General features: G+C 44.7%; 2 long non-coding RNA genes across 2 annotated transcripts in view, besides 5 other annotated features; one reads left to right on the top strand and one right to left on the bottom strand.

Annotated features, from left to right (window-relative positions):
- The window catches only part of LOC101927040 (uncharacterized), a 102,366-nt gene extending 85,014 nt beyond the window's left edge, over positions 1–17,352 (top strand). Inside the window, exons 5-6 of the long non-coding RNA NR_110954.1 lie at positions 15,102–15,157; positions 15,719–17,352. This is a non-coding gene — a long non-coding RNA (uncharacterized LOC101927040). The remainder of the gene's footprint in view (positions 1–15,101; positions 15,158–15,718) is intronic.
- Positions 1–18,582, bottom strand: part of LINC01607 (long intergenic non-protein coding RNA 1607) — a 34,701-nt gene extending 16,119 nt beyond the window's left edge. The window contains exons 1-3 of the long non-coding RNA NR_125410.1: positions 18,506–18,582; positions 9,325–9,385; positions 6,590–6,716 (exon numbers count right to left, since the gene is read on the bottom strand). This is a non-coding gene — a long non-coding RNA (long intergenic non-protein coding RNA 1607). The remainder of the gene's footprint in view (positions 1–6,589; positions 6,717–9,324; positions 9,386–18,505) is intronic.
- Positions 2,318–3,118: an enhancer, noted in NCBI's record as "H3K27ac-H3K4me1 hESC enhancer chr8:80695841-80696641 (GRCh37/hg19 assembly coordinates)". NCBI's record gives its function as "activates a minimal SCP1, AML or CMV promoter by ChIP-STARR-seq in naive H9 embryonic stem cells {active_cell/tissue: H9 hESC(naive)}" and the evidence as "EXISTENCE:reporter gene assay evidence [ECO:0000049][PMID:30033119]".
- Positions 2,506–2,745: a silencer, noted in NCBI's record as "silent region_19314". NCBI's record gives its function as "represses an Ori minimal core promoter by ATAC-STARR-seq in GM12878 lymphoblastoid cells {active_cell/tissue: GM12878}" and the evidence as "EXISTENCE:reporter gene assay evidence [ECO:0000049][PMID:35858748]".
- Positions 17,785–17,954: a silencer, noted in NCBI's record as "silent region_19313". NCBI's record gives its function as "represses an Ori minimal core promoter by ATAC-STARR-seq in GM12878 lymphoblastoid cells {active_cell/tissue: GM12878}" and the evidence as "EXISTENCE:reporter gene assay evidence [ECO:0000049][PMID:35858748]".
- Positions 18,055–18,414: a silencer, noted in NCBI's record as "silent region_19312". NCBI's record gives its function as "represses an Ori minimal core promoter by ATAC-STARR-seq in GM12878 lymphoblastoid cells {active_cell/tissue: GM12878}" and the evidence as "EXISTENCE:reporter gene assay evidence [ECO:0000049][PMID:35858748]".
- Positions 18,455–18,934: a silencer, noted in NCBI's record as "silent region_19311". NCBI's record gives its function as "represses an Ori minimal core promoter by ATAC-STARR-seq in GM12878 lymphoblastoid cells {active_cell/tissue: GM12878}" and the evidence as "EXISTENCE:reporter gene assay evidence [ECO:0000049][PMID:35858748]".

The raw sequence follows: 18,952 nt of genomic DNA, 5'->3' as shown, positions 1-18,952 counted from the left end.
TGCAGGAGTTTTCTCTGGGTCCTCTGGTTTCCTACTGCATCTAAAGATGAGCATATTAGGTTCATTGGTAGGTCTGAACTCTCTCCGTCTGAGTGAATGCGGGTGTGTGTGCGTGCACCCTGTGATGGATGGTGTCCTGTCCAGGGTTAGTTCCCGCCTTGTGCCCTGAACTACCTACCTGGATGGGCTCCAGGGGCCTGTGACACTGAATTGGAATAACTGGGTAAATAATTATCTTACTAGTGTTTGTTTATCTTTCTTTTTATTTTTTCTCCCTTATTGCCAACAATATTAATCTTTCTTAGATGTATGTGTAGCTCACATTTATTTGATGTTTACTATTACAAGTACTTTGGGTCTTTATTTAGAAGTTTGTTGATGTTTTTGTAACCAGAAACATGCTGTGGAAACTTAACTCTTGCTTATATCAATCAGCCAATGGTAAAATTGGCTTCTTTATACATTTCACTTGAAGTCGCATCTTCCAAGAACCTATTGATGATGTTAAGTGAGGACTTACTGCATTTGCAAAGTGGTGGTCACACAGGTGAGCAACAGGCAAACTACACCACCTTCCTATCTCTTATTGCTACTGATTCCATCTCTGGTCCCACCCCTTCCTATCTGAGCTCCATATACATATATCCACATTCCTCTTAGATATCCCTATTTGGATACCTTCCAGTCACTTCTACCACAACATGGCCCGAACTAAACTCATCATTTCACTCCAAGTCAAGCCTATTCTTTGTCTTCCAGGTTGCTTATCCCAGTGAATGCCATCATCATGCATCTAGGTGTACAACTTGGAAACCTGGAGTCGTCTCGCATTTTTTCCAGTTGCTTACTGCCAAAGTCAAGTTGGTCCCCATGCTCTGTCAGTTCCACCTTCGAAGTATCTTGAATCGGGCTCACCTCATTCTTCATTTCAGTCTCTTATAATATCTCTTATTGCTGAATCACTGGGTTAGTCCCCAATCTCCTCTCCCCGCCCTAGCCCGAGACCCTTCAATCCCGCCTCTAAATTGCTGCCCAAGTAATCTTTCTAAAAGACAAATTTAATTATTTTGCTCCTTTGCTTTAGGTCTGTTAGGATAAAGTCCAAACTCCTCAACAAGACTTTTCATGGTTCCTGTCTCTCTGGCTCATCCACGCCTACCCCTGGAGCCCTGTGCTGCCGCTGGGCACAACTGCTTGCAGAGTGCCTCATACTCCGTCACTGACCCGGTGGCCTTTTGTACACTCTGCTACTTCTCTTTTTGGAATGCCCTTTCCTCCCTTCTTCTCTTGGACGATTGTTACTTGTCATGTAAGTGTCAGATAAATGAATCATCCCTTCTCCAGAAAGTTTCCCAAATTGCCCTGCCTGGGTCTGTGGCCCTTCTCTGGCCTCATAGTCTCAAGTACAGACCTCCATTTCTGAGTCATCCTTAATTGTTGCTCTGCATACATACCTGTCTCCTCAACTAGATTTGTAAGCTACTTAAGGATAGGTTCTGGATGTTTTATCTCTCTGCCTCTAGCCCTAGCCCAGTGCCTAGCGCATAGGAGATGCTCAAAGCATCCTTGCTAAATGCATGTTGAATGGAGTTACTCTTGACCTCATTCCTCCACCACTTTCCAAAAGAAAGGACAAAATCTCCTCCCTTATTGCCACCACTTATAAGGTGAGTTCTTATAAATGCCCACTTTCCTCTCATTTGTAGGGAAGTATGGATATCATGGTACCTTCAAAGTAGAGACTTCCATAAGGAGAATCAGAGCCTTCCTAAATCTTGCAGCCCAACAAGAAGCCAAAAAACATAGCACCATTTTCTTGTAATGGGCCCATGTATATTTTTCAAACTTACTACCATCCTCCGTTAGTCTCTGACACTTCACTGCACCCCTTCTAAAAGTGTAGTGCCAAAATGAATAGAACTCAGAAGCTTAGGTCCAGGGGCAAGTCACTGACTCAAAAGTCATGACTCGCTTCACTTTTTTTCTCTTTTCCTAGTGTACCATGATGCTTGTGCTTGCTTTACTCAGAGGGTAAAGACAGATTTTTAAAAACTGAACATGAATGGAGGAAATGAAAAAATTCCTCCATCATCCCAGTCTTGACGAGATTAACTGATCAAAATTGTGAACGGCATTTTGTAAAGCATTAGAGATCTAATGTGAATCTCTCATTTAATCCTGTTTTTTCCGCTATTCCCCGCTCTTACTCTCCCCCTTCCATTCCCCAACCTACCCCCTAACCCCAGCTTTTTGGTTGTTATTGCAATTCAGTGGCATTTGTTCCGCAACCAGCATTTCTTCCCCTTCCCTTCCCTCTCCCACCCTCCCGGGAGGCCAAGAAGGAGGCGCAGAGGAGGAGAGAAAAAGAAGCCCCAGTAGTATTCAGCCGGCCCGGCTCCCTACAGGAAGTGATCTTTCTGCTTTTAGGCCAGCCACACGCCTCCCAGCCAGCCAGCAGCGCTAACTAATTAGCACACGTGATGGGAATTGGAAACAAAGTCGCCAACAATAGGAGCGTGGGAACCCGAGCTGCGCTGCAATTACAGCGCCCCCCTCACCCCGCCCGGATCGGCGGCGGGCGACGCGCCACCCGCCCGCCCAGGGAGGGCCCGCCAGGTCCGGGCGCCTGGAGCTCCGGGCCGCGTCCGTCCAGTGGGTCGCGCCGCTCGCCTCCGCCCTGTGGGGGTCTGCACACAATAGGGGGAAAGCGTGTTGAGGGAATCTCAGCGCTGGCCAGGTCACGCGAGAGGTCAGTTACCCTTTGTTGGGAGAGAGCGAGGGAAGAAAGACGGTCATCAAATATCCTCCTTGTGATAGTTTAGGGGCCTGGACAGATCAGGAGCCCGCGGGCCCACCGTAGGGACTTGGGACTCTGCGGGACGTCTGCCTAAGGGCTCTCGGGGCGCCGCGGGGAACGCGCTTTCTTTGTGGTATATACGAGAGAGAGGGACCCTGACCTTTCCGCGTCCTGCTGAGAGGGAGCTGTTGCGGGGGCGCCAAAGAGCGGCGACAGCGGGCAGGACAGCGAGGGCCAAGAGCCGGGCCCTTCTAGCCTGGGCGCCTCTAACCTGGGATCACCCTAACTAGCTGGTGGCTGCCCCGTGCGCATGCGCCTGGCGGTCGCCTCGGCCAAGGTGATTTCAGAGGTAGGCTGATGGAAATTTGCGTCTGAAGTTTCCCAGCACTCTACACTCCGATGATTTTTTTTTAAATAACAGCTTTATTTAGAATTCACATACCACACAATTTACCTATTTAAAGTGTATGATTCGGCTGGGCTTGGTGGCTCACGCCTGTCATCCCAGCACTTCGGGAGGCCAAGGCGGGCTGATCACTTGAGGTCAGGAGTTTGAGACCAGCCTGACCAACATGGGGAAACCCAGTCTCTACTAAAATACAAAAATTAGCCGGGCGTGGTGGTGCGCATGTGTAATTCCAGCTATTCGGGAGGCTGAGGCAGGAGAGTTGCTTGAACCCGGGAGGCGGAGGTTGCAGTGCGCTGAGATTGCGCCACCGCACTCCAGCCTGGTGACAGAGTGAGACTCCGCCTCAAAAATAAATAAATACATAAATAAAAATATTTTTAACAGTGTGTGATTCAACGGTTTTTAGCATATTTACAGATACGTGCAACCATCACCAATTTTAGAACATTTTCGTCCTCAAATCCCCCGTAATGCTAACCTCTCCCATTCCCTAGTTCTAAGCAACTACTAATCTATTTTCTGTCTCTTTCAGATTTGCCTATTTTAGACATTTCATATAAATGGAATCATATATGTCATCGTTTGTGTCTGGTTTCTTTCAGCATGTTTTCACGGTTCATCCAGGTTGTGGCATGTATCCTCAGTTTTCCCTTTTTATTGCTGGGTATAAACACATTTTGTTTATCCATTCATCAGTTGATGGACATTTGAATTGTTTCCACCTTTTGGCCACTATGAATAATGCTGCTATGAACATTTACATGCAGCATGTATGAACATGTAAACGTGTGAACATGTTTTCATTTCTCTTGGGTAAATAGATAACTTAGGAGCAGAATTGCTCAGTTGATGGTAAATTTATGTTTAACTTCTAAGGAAACTGCCAAACTGCTTCCAAATTGGCAATAAATTCCCAGTCATGAGATTTTAGTTTTTCTCCAGCTTCCCACCAATATTTGCTATTGTTTGTCTTTTTGGTTATAGCCACTCTAGTGGGTGTAAAGTCAGTCCTAAACTATAAAATTAGGAGATTTGATGAGCCCTAAGTTCTTTTCCAGTGCTAAATTTCTGAGGCATAAGAAGTGGACCTTGCATAGTATATTCTAGCAGGGTCATGAATGGCAATTTACTAAATCAGCTGCCAAAACACAATAGTATCACTATTTTCTGTGAAAACTGAAGTAGAAATAATTACTTACAAACATGTATCTAACTGATATCATAGAGCTGTCCAAGAAAGCCCCAGTTAAAAGCCAACTCCTTTTGATACTCTCCCTGCCCACACCCCAACTCCACTCCCAAATCTCAGCTTTTACTGTCTGTAGCAGACAACTTATTTCCATACTACGTGATTAAAAATGACCCTGTATGTTCAGAAACATCAAGTGGCAGTAAAACGTTACTCTAGGTTGTGTTGTCCAAACCCAGAGTTATTTTCTTGGGGCTAGGGTGTTTGATCAGGTTTCAAGTTTATTTAGATATAAGCGTAATTTCTCATTTATAGGAAACTACTTTTATAATAACAGTTATAATGTTTCTGTTTACATGATTGGCTGCAGATCACCAAAGGGGTGGGTTACCATGTAACATTAAAAAAAAATTCAGACGGTATGTTGCATTTATAGCAATAAAAGGGGTAGGGAGAATCCCCTCCTGGCTTAACCTAGTCTTTTCCTTTCCTTCCTTTTCCCTTCCTTTTCTTTCTGAGATAGGGTCTTGCTCTGTTGCCCAGGCTGGAGTGCAGTGGTACAAACATAGCTCACAATAACCTTGAATCCTTGGACTAAAGCGATCCTCCCACCTCAGCCTCCTGAGTAGCTGGGATTACAGACATGAGCCACTGTGCCTGGCCCTTTCTTAAATTCAGAAATGACCCTCATGATCTTACATTTATTTCAATGTAGTATATTTTTTCAATAAAGATACTGCATGTAGTGGTTGAAATATATTCTGGTTAGAATAGGTCATTTTAAATTCAGATGACAAGCAAACATGACAGGTGATACATTTACTGCGTCTTCACCTTGCTTGATTTTGCAGTGATTCCAGGTCTTGGCTGCATATTAGAATCACCTGGGAAGCTTTAAAAACATACTTATGCCAGACCCCAACCCAAACTAATTATATCCCAATCTGGTTTTCTTTTGTTTTTGAGAATGGAGTCAACTTCAGTATTTTTTTGCCAGCTCCCCAGTAGATTCCAAATACAGCCAGGGTTGAAGTTGGTCTTACCCAGTGGTTCTCCAAGTATGGTCCCAGGACTGACTGCATCATCTGGGAACTTGATTGAAATGCGAATTTTTGGGCCCAACCCAGACTTACAGAATCAGAAACTCCATGAGAGGGGCCCAGCAATCTGTATTTTAATAGTCCTTCAGGTAATGTGTGCTGAAGTCTGACAACTACTAACATAAGTAGAAATTCTCCAGTTTGGCTGCACATGGGAGACACCTGAGAACTTCAAAAACTACTGATGCCTGGGTTCACACCCCAAGAGATTGTAATTTTAATTGTTTTGAGGTGTGGCCTATGAATTGAAATTAAAAAAGCAAGCTCCCCAGATAATTCTAGTATGTGGCCAAGTTGTGAACCATAGAGCAAAAACAGCAATTCCTAAAGTATGGTCCCACATATCCAGCATCAGCATCATCTGGGAATTGTTTGAACTACAAATTCCTGAGTCCACTGAGATCTACTGATTCACATACTCTGAGGGGGAGGGGGACCCCCAAATCTGTCTTTATTATTAAACTTTCCATGTAATTCTAATGCTCACTAACAGGTGAGAACCACTGGTTTAAACATTGCAGTCCTAGGGTCTGAATCAATATTCCATTTTTTGGGGATGGATCATTGTGCATTACAAAATTTTGAACTACAGGCCCTGGAGGAACACAGTTTCTCTGTTAAAATAATTTATATATATTCTTAAATTCTCTTATTACCATTGTAATTTACACCTTTTTTTGATTATTTTGTCTTTGTAGATTTGAAGGCTGATCTCATCTATGCTTTTATATTTATTCATTTATTTAGGTTTCAGAGGTCTGAACATTTCATTTTGACATAGAGGAAATAATGGCTTCCTTTCTTCTCTATGGAGCCCTTCCCTTGGGAAACATTTTGAGAGTTCATGGTTTGTCAAGATAAGCAGCAACTGTCTTAAACATCAAACCATTACCATCAACAACAAAACCACCTAAAAATTCATATTGCTCAATTTAGGAATTTAACATATATCCTGAATTAATCAGGAAATTGCAAAATTCTTATGTAAAAGAGCTTGGCTGATTTCAGAGATACATAGCTGAATACTGTATAACTCATTGTGATCTTTTGATGGATAGCCTTGAAGTCAAGCAACTCCTTTCCTCCTCAGTTACCTTCTATTAGAGCCAGGTTTCTCCATCAGCAAAGACAAATGGTTTTCTAGAGCAGTGGTTCTCAATGTGTGGTCTCTGGGCCACCACCAGCAGCAGCATCTCCTCCTCCAGGTGATTCTGATGCCTGCTAAAAGTTGAGAACCAGTTTTAGAGCAAGAAAACTGGGAATGATTTTTGACTCATTACCTATCAGGGCAGTATTTTCTCCATCCAATAATATGCCAAGTATTGCTCAATATTTTTTCATAATTCCTTTGCCTTATTCTTTCCATTCCTGAAGCCATAGGCTCAATCCAGGTTCATTCCTAGCACATTCCCAACTCCAGGACTTTTTCCCTCTATGTGGGTATTCTTTTTGTATCACCTCAACTGTGTATGATGAACATTCAAAGTCTCCCCCTTCTGTTTATAAACCTAACTAGATTGTCTTATTCCATTTCATGTTCTTTGTCCTCATGGGCTTCATAATCACTTTCCAGTGGGCCATCCCACTCCTGCCCTGTTTTCTTATGAGGCCCCCTTCTCCTCAAGTATAAGGCACAGACCACCACGACCCTCTCTGGCTTTCCGTCTGAACTCCATGAATGCTACAAATAAAGGTAATGGGGAAAATGTCAACAAAGTGCTCTTGGTCCATTGTACTGAAGTGTCTAATCCTGCACAATTCTTTCTTCAGTCATCATCTGTGAACATATTCCTTTTTTTTTTTTTTTAAGACGGTGTCTCACTCTGTCACCCAGACTGAAGTGCAGTGGTGTGATCTCGGCTCACTGCAACCTCCGCCTCCTGGGTTCAAGCGATTCTCCTGCCTCAGCCTCCAGAGTAGCTGGGACTACAGGTGCATGCCACCACGCCCAGCTAATTTTTGTAGATTTTTTTAAAATAGAGATGGGATTTCACTATATTGGCCAGGCTGGTCTCGAACTCCTGACCTCATGATCTGCCCACCTCGGCCTCCCAAAGTGCTGGGATTACAGGCATGTGCCACCGTGCCCAGCCTATGAACATATTTTTACTCTCTGTCTTGCACTAAAAAATGTGGGCCCCAGAGACCAGATTCCATGAGTAAACACATGAAAGAAGCAATATAAAAACTATTCCTAGAGATCAAGATGGAGAATCAGAGAGAAAATGCTGAAGAAGATGACACTCTAATGTGCTGTGGTTCAGTGTTCTCTAAGGCTTTTGATATGTGCATACATGTGGGCCCAAGAGTGTCTAATTCAAGAAGGCAGAGTATTTACAGTCTCCAATATAGTGCCCGTGTAGAAAACATTAACAATCATAAAGCAAGATCATGTGTTTTTGTGTGTACATGTGAAATTAAGAAATCAATTCTAGTCAGATTTCAAGGAAAAAAAAAAAGCTCAAAAACTGTTGCAAATGGGCAATAAATAGTACCAGGACAGTAAGATAAGTCTTTGTGTTTTAAACAAAAAATTTTAGAAGAAACAAAAGTGGTTTGAATTAAGTACTAAAAAAATTTAACATGAACTGATAGCAGAGTAAAATTTTGGTTAGTGACCAATTTAAGGAACACCTATTAACATTTTCAGATTTTTTAATACCAAAAATTATTAAGCCAACTCTTAAAACTGGATATCAAAATTATTTTATATATATTTTACAGAGAACAAAAACTTTTAACTCAGAGCTGCGAATTCTCAGAAAACTATGCTTGAAGGTTCAGTATTTTTGATAAATCTTTTCAAAGGCCCTTTAAATATTATTGTGCTAATGAGCATGGACTGAGACAATAACATGTGATGGCACATATAAGCAAAGACAAATCAAGCTGTCTTCAAAACTGAATATATTTTGCTTTTTAAAATTAGGCCAGGTGTGGTGGCTCATACCTGTAATCCCAGCATTTTGGGAGGCTGAGGCTGGTGGATCACTTGAGACCAAGAGTTTGACCTGCCTGGGCAACATGGAGAGATCATTGCTGCACAAAAATGTAAAAATATTGGCTGGGCATGGTGACATGTACCTGTCATCCTAGCTACTATGGAGGCTGAGGTGGGAGGATCACTTGAGCCCAGCAGTTTGAGGTTATAGTGAACTATGATTGCACTACTTCAGTGTGGCCTGGGCAACAAAGGGAAACCCCCTCCTCCAACCGCCCCCCCCCAAGAAAGAGAGAGATATTTGGCATGTATTTGAAAAATTCTACCAACTCATCTTTCTGTCTCTATTACTTTCTTTCCTCAGCGGAAAAATACATTACTTTTATTCTATATACTATGTATTATAATTACTAAATACAGTGTTACAAACATAAAACCCAAACAGCCAAATTATGGAAGTATTTTTATAGTGTTTTTAGGGGGTAAAAGAAAAGGTGATTCAAGCACACAGTCTACTGAGATCCAAGGAAATGAGTTGTGGTCTTCAGCGTGTACTCTGAGGGAGGATGAGCATGCAGCCTGCTGCACTTGGGAAAGTTGTTCATGGAGGGACAGTTGCAAGGCTGGTGAAAGGAAACCCCAGGAACAATGAACTCAGGATTTGGCTTGAGAGGTAGATGGGTTGAAAGCCTAAAGGGGTCCTAGGCTCATGTGTATTGTGCATTGGTGATAGAGTCGGTAGGGCCAGTTTTTCACAGTGGGAATTTCCGGCAGAGACAAACCACCCCTGCCTTTCACTGTCAGTTGACAAGAGGCTCAAAAAGGACAAGAACAGGAAAGAAAATTACAGACTGAAAATGCAAGCTCCTCTTAAATGGTGATACTTACCAGGAATACCAAGCTCTTTGTCATTTATTTGGAAACTGGTCTTATTTCTTCAACTTATAACCTATAATGGATTTGAAAAAGAAAAGTCATTGAAAAATAGAAAAATATATATTGCTCTAAAAATAGGGCTTTTTAAGTGGCAAAAATTTGTATTTTTTATTTTGCTCCTTCAATTACTGGCAAGTAAAATAGAATACATTCTAAAAGCTGGGAACTAGAACACTTATCTATAACAAAAATGCCTACTTACAAAGACACATTAAGATTTTATAAAAGTTTTGAAGTAGGAATTGTCTTAGCTCAGGCTGCCATAACAAAATGCTATAGACTGTGTGGTTGAAACAATAGAAATTTATTTTCTCATAGGTCTGGAGGCCGGAGGTCCAAGATGAAGGTTCCAGCACGGCCAGGTTCTGGTGAGGGCTCTCCTTCTAGCTTGCAGATGGCTGTCTCCTCACCGTGTCATCACATGGGGCAGAGAGGGAGAGAGAGAGGGAAAGGAAGAGAGAGGGAGAGGGACAGAAAGATGGCACCAGGAGAGAATGAATTAGCTCTCTGGTGTCTCTTCTTATAAGGGCACTAGTCCCATTGTAAAAACCCCAGCCTCATGGCCTCATCTAAACCTAATTATCTCCCAAAGGCCCCAACTCCAAATACTATTACATTGGGGGTTAGTGCTTCAACATATTAATTTTGGGGTAACACAATTCAGGAATGATATCTAAACATGTTTCACTTCTTTCATGTCTTATAACTAGAATGTTACCTGGCCCCACTAGCCTTTGACTACAAATGAGGTCACATTAATGCCTAAATTCCAATGATTCTTAACCCTTCCTGCCAGACTATAGGACTTTGGCCCCTTTCTAAGTTCTCAGCCCCACCTGGGTAATGCCTCATTGATGTTCAATGCTGTTTGTCAATGACATCTTCATCTTGAAGGCCTGTGCACTGCCTCTATAGCTAAGTTCCAGTCATCACCATGTACCCTCAGAGTGCCATTTGGCAGTGTGTATGCACATGTGTGTGGGGGGCATGGGGTGGTGGCACAGAATTAACCTGTCCCAGTTCTCCGCAGCATACTGTCACCTGGGTGCTGATGTAACATTATTATTGTTGTTACTTTTTACCAGAATTATCTCCCATATAAATAACTCCTTCAGCTTTTGGTGCTAAGCCTTTTCTCTAATGTGACTCAAAAATCTATCCTCTCAAGATAAAATATTTGCAAACTATGCATCCAACAGGGAACTAATATCCAGAATTTACATGGAACTCAACTCAACAACAACAAGAAACAAATAACCCTATTCAAAAGCGGGCAAAGGACATGAATAAACATTTTTCAAAGAAGACATCCAAATGCACAACAGGCATATGAAATAAAGCTCAACATCACTAATGATCAAAGAAATGCAAATTGAAGCCACAATGAGATATCATCTTACACTAGTCAGAATGGCTATTATTAAAAGTCAAAAAATAACAGATGTTGGTGAGGATATAAAGAAAAGAGAACTCATATGCTGTTGGTGGGAATATAAGTTAGTACAACTATGGAAAACTCTATGGAGGTTGCTCAAAGAACTAAAAAATAATGACCATTTGATCCAGCAATCCCACTACTAGGTATATATTCAGGAAAAGAAATCATTATATCAAAAGGATAGCTACACACATATATTTATCACAGTACTATTTACAATAGCAAAAATATGGAATCAACCTAAGTGTCCATCAATGGATGACTGAATTAAAAAATGTGGTATATATACATAATGAAATACTATTCATCCATAAAAAATGAAATCATGTCTTTTCCAGCAATAAGGATGGAACTGGAGGCCATTCTCTTTAAGTGAAACAACTCAGAAACAGAAAGTCAGATGCTTGTTCTCACTTATAAATGGGAGCTAAATAATGTGTACACATGGACATAGGGTGTGGAATGATAGACAAGGAGACTCAGAAGAGTAGGGGAACAGAACGGGGATGGGTGATGAGAAACTACTCACTGGGTACAATGTACATTACTTGAGTGATGGATACACTAAAAGTCAAGACTTCACCACTACACAATATAGCCATGGAACAGAATTGCAGTTGTACCCCTTAAATTTATACACTTCAAAAAAAAAGGAAAAAAAAATCTGTTCCCTCAATTCTTTTCTCCCTCCTTTCTGCCCTGTGCTCCTGAGTCAAAAGGTAAAAATATCAAAAAAACAAAAAACAACTTTTCAACTTAAAACCAAAGCTCCAGTGTGTATCAGTTCAGGCAAACAGATCACTTAGTGGATTAGCAGCCTCTAGTTTCAAAGATGTAGAGTCTGTGAATTCCAGTTTGGGGCTCACATGGAACTTTCTGCTATACTTTCAAGTTTTTTTTTCTAGTGGTGCCAAAGGCATATACTTTAAACTTTAATAATTTAAAATCATTTTGGATTTATTTATAATAAATATCTAAGAACATAAAAAGTAGTAAATTATGAAATACTTGAAAACCAAATCCAAAGAAGTCATATACCCCAACTGTTGCAGTATTATTTCAGCATCCAGGCTACCTAGGAAACAAGGCTTCACTTCCACTAAATGCAACTTGGTACAAAGTCCAGGGAGTGACATTCTCCAGCTTGCTTTAGGACACCCTAAGATTTATCTCATTTATATCTCGAGCTGTCTTGGACGTGTAAAAATAAAAACTAGTTGAATTATTTAAAGTATGAAAATATTCTGCAAATTACTATTTTAATTAGCTTAATTGAGAAAAGTATGCTGTATATTAATGTTTGTATCATTTTAACTGAGAAAAGAATACACTGTAAATTATTCTTTGAGGGAAAGAGGGTGTCATGGAATCAAACCAATGGCAGAGATTCAGATACAACTTTGGGCAAATCTCTTACTTCCTTTTGCATAGGCTTCCTTTTCTAAAACTGGAGAAAATAATACCTCCCTTTTCCTGGGTTGCTGTGAGAATTCAATCAGTTATATGTAAAGTTCTAAAAACTGTTTCTGGTATATGGTGCCATGAAGTGCTATGAAGGTGTTTGTTATTACAAGTATTTAAAAGGTAATATAAATTACTTTTAAGTAATTGGTCTCTTTGATTAGTCAGCAAAGAACTTTCAGAAATAGAAAGTCAGATGCTTGCTCTCACTTATAAGTGGGAGCTAAATAGTGTGTACATATGGACACAGACTGTGGAACGATAGACATCGGAGACTCGGAAGGGTTGGGGATGGGAGGGGGATGGGTGACGATAAATTACTCAGCAAAAGTTATATTTCAGCACTTAGTAATAATTTGTATTAAGTTGGTTTTCATTTGTGATTAATTTTTTTGTGGGTCAGTCATCTTTAACCAAAAGCAAAATGCATCTACCCTTACGCTATGACAAGTTCCCAAAGTGTGTTCCTTGGTATGCCGTTTCAATGGAATATTAGCACATGTTATGTGAAGAAAAAAGGTGCTGTAACTGGTGAGTTTGGGAAGTGCTGGGTTAGACAAATGTAAATAAGGCTTCTTTACTAAGAATGTCTCTGAGCTTTTCATGCTGTAATGTGCCCCGAGATCTTACAGGTGGTTTTCCAGATGTATCTGGAAACAGATTCTTTTATTTACAAAGCATCTTGAGAAATTAATGTTTTGTGAAATGCATGTTGGTATTTTAAATATATATATATGTATATATATGTATATTTTAAAAGATGGAGTTGCTCATTGTGAGGGAATTCACTGGCAGGCACAAGAGGCTCAGGAAGGCTCAGGAAGAAGGCCAGGAGTTCCAGCCTTGATGGTCCAGCAAGGCTCAGGAAGAAGCATCCCATATTCTTCACATCATCATCATCATCACCGTAACTTAAAAGCATAAGGCATAACATTTGTTTGGCACTTGAAAAAATGCTTTGTCTCATCTTATCTTTTGAAAAACAAAATGAACGCTGAGCTATTATTTTATGGATGAGGAAACTGAGGTTCAGAGGGTAAAGGTGTGATGATAAGCTCAAGGTCACACAGCTAGTAAAGAGTGACTTGAACCCAGGCAGGTGATTTGAAATCCCTGCTTTTTCCACTGTACCATACCACTGCCTGTTAGGGTTCCAATTAAACAATTCCTTCAAGGCAAACACCAAGGCATCTCACATCTGACCTCAATTAGGAAAGTTGATAGTGGAAGTGCACTTTTGCATGGCATGACATGCCACAAAGCAATCTGGTGTTTGAGATGCTGCATCTAGAGAAAGCAGCAAGCATGAGGAACAAAGGAAAACTGTCACTTAGTCAAAATTCCTTGTGTTCTCATGAAGGAGCCATCTCTGAACTCCATGAGTACACTCCTTACTTATACATGTATTATAGCGCTACATGCTCAGGAGATGTTTCTTAGATTCAAAAAGCAAAACTTTCACTAATAATGAATAGCAGATGCTTATATTACTCAAAATAATCTAGTGCTCTTAACAAGAAGCACTGTTTCCTTCTCCTGATGTTAAAAGGATATTACTTTCTAGAGATTCTGTTAATATATCCAATTACTACATAATTATTTATACTGCCTTTCAACCTCATTAGACGTGTAACAGAGTATCAGAAGAAAACACAAAAGTAACTTAGTGCTCAGAGTTTATATACTCATGGGCAGAGAAGGTATATTAAAAGCCAATAATAGCAGATGCTGTTTATTGGGTGCTAACTAGTGGCCAAGTATTGTTGTAAAGTGCTTCATATAATTGATCATATTTAATTTGTGACATTGGAAAATAACTATTACTAATATCACCATTTTTTTTTTTGAGACGGACGGAGTCTCACTCTGTCGCCCAGGCTGGAGTGCAGTGGCGCGATCTTGGCTCACTGCAACCTCTGCCTCCCAGGTTCAAGCGACTCCCCTGCCTCAGCCTCCCACGTAGCTGGGATTACAGGTGTGCGCCACCACGCCCGGCTAATTTTTGTATTTTTAGTAGATAAAAATATCTACGAAATTTCACCATATTGGTCAGGCTGGTCCTGAACTGCTGACATCGTGATCCAACCACCTCGGCCTCTCAAAGTACTGGGATTACAGGCGCGAGCCACTGCGCCCAGCCAATATCACCATTTTACAGATAAGATTATTGAGGCTTAAATATCATGTAGCTAAGAAGAACTTGTGAGCAGCTTGATAGAGATTGTGGCTTTTCAGCCTGATTGCTCTAGGCCTGGCTCAGTGCCCAGCACAGACTAGGGGCTTTATACAAATTTGTCAAGCAAGTACATAAGCAAGCAAGCCCTAAAGGTTTCAGCCAGCCACTGGCTAGCTTTACCTAAAACTTGTTTTGACAAAGACCTTTGCCTCAGAATGGTACAGCAATTAGACTAAGAGGTTAGAGAGAGCGGCAGCCCCTTCTTTCTCAGAGCTGCAGGTGTAGCCTCTGGTCCTCCTGAGCACTATGTCCCATGCCTGTTCAATTGAGATCACCTGCACCCACCAGCAAACTGACAGAGACAGGGCCTCATGAAGGGTATCCAAGTAGGGACCTCCACAGTGGCCAAAGCTCTAATGAATGAATAATTGACGACTGGGGCTTCCTCAAGGCCAGTCTCACACCCAGCTACTGGTTGCATCCCTTCCAACAAGCTGGCCACCCTAAGCCTCGTTCATAGAGAAATGCTGCAGCTGGAGTTTGAGGATGAGCTGTTCCTCCCTGGAGATTCTACCACTTTTCCTCTGGGGAGGCCCTCACCTGGGCCTGGCCTTTCGAGTGAATTCCTAAATCTGGAGTGTCTCTCTCTTCCAGGACATCTGGAGTATCTCTTCTGCAAGGGAACGCAGATAAAAGCAGCCTGCGGAACGGTAAGCTAAGTAACTGAACCCAGACTCTACAAACCAGGCAAGAAAATAGGCCTTTGAGCGAAATAAAAAAGGGTGATTCTTCAGGAGAGACGAATTATAAAAGGCAACACTTGCCCACTTCCCCACCCCCAAATGGTAAAAGGTCCTTTTCCTGAGGGGCCAGGCCTGGGCAGTCCCATTTAAGTTGCAGAAGGGGTCAATTTGCAGGACGTACCTTTCATTCAGGGTAGCAAAGATGTTTAAAGTCGTTCTTCACTCAAAGCCTCCAGGGGTAAATCCCTTCTACACAGCAGATGGGAGAAAATTGGGCCTGGTGCCCTCAGTGTAACTCTCTCCTCTGATCCCACCACTCAAGGAAGAGGTCTCCGCCCCTTCCTTCCCGGTTATTACTGAACCACCTAGTTCACCTCTTCTTGATCTTAAGTCCCTTCCAAACTCAGAACAGGCCTTCCCAGACCTCATAAAGAATCCTCACCCCCTCGTTTTTCCTTACCAACAAGTGCTTCCAAGCACTGGAGCATCCATAACTACTTTACTGTGTATTCTCTGTCTTCTCCCTAGGATGTGAGTTCTAGGAGTGCAAGATGGATGACTTTTGGGTCACCTTTGTGTTTTCAGGCCCTAGCACAGCACATGGCACATAGAAGAATACGTATTTATTGGAAGCATTGAAAAATCAGTCAAACTTAAGAAGCAAGACAACCTCATTTGTAATTTTTTTAGAGACAGAGTCTCATTCTGTTACCCAGGCTGGAGTGCTGTGCAATGATCATAGCTCATTGTAGCGTTGACCTCCTGGGCTCAAGCCTCGGCCCCCAGAGTAGCTAGGACACAGGCCACCATGCCCGGTTCATTTTTAAATTTTTTCTAGAGATGGGGATCTTGCCGTGTTGCCCAGTCTGGTCTGGCACTCCTGGCCTCACGCAAACCTCCCACCTCAGCTTTCTACGAAGCTAGGACTACAGGTGCATGCCATGCCTGGCTAATTTTTAATTTTCTTTTTTAAGAAATGGGGATCTTGCTATGTTGCCCAGGCTGATCTGGAGCTCCTGGACTCAAGCAATCCTCCTGCCTCAGCCTCTCAAAGTGTTAGGATTACAGGTGTGAGCCACTGCGCCTGGCCGTAGAGAACCTCCTTTTTGACATAAAAGTAATCATGAACATGTGAGCAATATTTCATTTGGATGCCAATGTAGAGTTAAGCATCCCTAACCCCACCCGGTCTCGTCTCACTCAACATCTGCAGCTTGTCCACGCCTCTCCACAGCAGCAGAAATGAGCCAAAGCAGGAAAGGCTGACTCATTGTAGGTGCCAGAGGCTGGGAAAATCTATAGAGCCAGAGGGGAAGTAGACACGTTGGTTCTGGGGAAGGGTGGCCTGTCACTTTGGGGAAAGAAATGGAAGGTCAGAGGGACTTCTGGAAGGCAGAGGGGAGCAGGTGGGATGGTTTCCTATGCCTGGACCATCAGTTTCTGGGAGGGAAGAGGCAGGAAGTAGTGATGGATGCCCTGGACTGAAGACTGGGAGGGCCAGGAAGGAGCCTTAAAATTTGCACTTCCAGAGAGAAAGTCGGCTGGTGGGATTGACCTCGGACTGACAACTAACAGGCAGCATGCGGTGGAGTTTCAGGAAGCCAGAGGTCTGGGGTGCCAGCAGCAACAAACCCAGGCTGGCTGATGGAAGGGCCCAGCCTAGACAGGGAAGCAGAGGGGCTGCATGGAAAGGCTCAGGGCTGGAGGTGATGTGAAGTGGAATAAGCTTCAGTGGGAGCCAGGAGGTTGTATTTCCCGTTGGGGGCGGTGGTGGAGGGATGGGGGTGCCCAGAGAGGAACTATGGATTAGGCCCAGGCCGGCCACTCAGAGTGCTTGGCATCCAGGATGTGTTAAGATGGCATTGAGGCCGAGCGCGGTGGCTTAGGCCTGTAATCCCAGTACTTTGGGAGGCCAAGGCAGGCGGATCACCTTTGGTCAGGAGTTTGAGACAAGCCTGGCCAACATGGTGAAACCTCGTTTCTACTAAAAATACCAAAAACAATTAGCTGAGCATGGTGGCGCGCGTCTGTAATCCCAGCTTCTGGGGAGGCCGAGGCAGGAGAATTGCTTCAACCCGGGAGGCGGAGGTTGCAGTGAGCCGAGATCGCGCCACTGCACTCCAGCCTGGGCGACAGAGTGAGACACCATCTCAAAAAAAAAATAGCATTGAGATCAATAAGGAAGTCTAGAAACCAGGAAGCTTTTTGCAAAGAGAAAACGCCTTTTGTTATTCTCACCGATGGATATTAAGCTTTCCCTCACAGACAGGACTACAAGCTTCAGAGTGGATCTGAGATGAATGCGAATTGCTGTGTACCTTTGTAAGGGACAGAAGACCGGATTTTCAAATTTAAAACAACCATTCTGTTTCTGGAATCAGAAATCAGTTTCGAGATTTACAACTGTATTTTTTAAAAAATCTGTCTTCTTAGTGGACTCGGGGGGGACTTCACGTGGCACCCAGTACACGCCACGCCAAGCCACCGAAGCCAGAGGTGTGTGTCTGGGGCCAGAGACGTGCATTCCCTCAGCAAGGCCGGCCTCAGACGCAAACGCCAGCACCGCCACCCTGTCGCCCGCTGAGAGGATCTGGCCGCCGGGGGGAGGGGGCGGGGGGGGGGGCAGCGGGGGAACAACAAAAAAATCCCAGCATAATGATTATTCCCAGGGACCGTTGGGTTTTTTTTTCCCCAAGGCGGCCGAAAAAACAAGTGCTCCCCTTCCCCGGAAATGAGATGCACAGGGGTATTCATTCCATTCCGCGGCTGGGAAGCCCCTGCGGAAACGAGTCTGGCTGCATGTGCGGCCTCGGTCCCAGAAATCAAAAAGAGCGTCCCCTGAGCCCACAGCTTGCTCCTCCATGTGACCGGCCCCTGGGCTGGTGGCCACTGTGGACGCGCCCGGCGCCCCCTCTCCCGGCTCCCTGCGGGTTCCGCGGAGCCGCCGGCGCGCAGCCCGGCCAGGTGCACCCGGCACGGCCCCACTAACAGCGCGCGCCTCCAGCCGCCGGGCACTGGCGGCCACGCGGGCGAGATTTACGGTGGCGCTAGGCGGCGGCTTCCGAGGCCGGCCGGCGCCCAGGCTCCGATTACAGGTTCACACTGGGGGCCCGGCCGGCGGCCGCCCAGCCCCCGCCGGCGCGCCCTCGCGCGGCCCGGCTCCCCGCCTGCCCATTCTTCTCCATTCATGCGGACGCCCAGCGCCGCCGCCGCCGCCGCCAGCGCGGCCGCCGCCGTCGCCGTCGCCGGCCGCCCGGATTGGCTGGCGGCCGCGGCGCCGGCACTTTCCCACGGCCCGCGGCGCGTGCGGCTCACCGGAGGCGCTGCAGGCTCGGCCCTGGCGCGCGGCCAGGCCAATCGGGGCGCGCGGGGCGGGGAGGAGCCGCGGCCGCCGGCGGGCTTGTGTCCCGGCCCGGCCTCCCGCGCCTCCCCGCCGCCCGCGCCTCCTCCTTCCCCTGAGTGCAGGCTGGACAGAGCCCCCGCGGAGCCGACGCACCGCCGCCGGGCAGGGGCGGGCGCGGAGGGCGGGGGCGCGGTCCGCTAGAGCCCTCGGCCTCGCTCCCGCCCCTCCCCGGAGCGGCTGCCAATCAGCGGCGCGAGAAACCGGATTGGCCGGGGGGCGGCTGTTGCCCTGGAGTTGCCGCCCCGCCTCTCCGCCCCCTCGCCCGCCTTCCCCACTCCCCCGCCCTCCCCAGGGCCCTGGGAAGGGGCTCAGCGTGGGAAAGGATGGTTGAGTTTTAACCAGAGGCAAAGCGTGAGCGG

The sequence above is a fragment of the Homo sapiens genome, chromosome 8 (genome assembly GCF_000001405.40).
Source record: "Homo sapiens chromosome 8, GRCh38.p14 Primary Assembly".
In the NCBI taxonomy this organism is placed as follows: Eukaryota; Metazoa; Chordata; class Mammalia; order Primates; family Hominidae; genus Homo; species Homo sapiens.
This window is presented reverse-complemented; position numbering and strand designations above follow the sequence as displayed.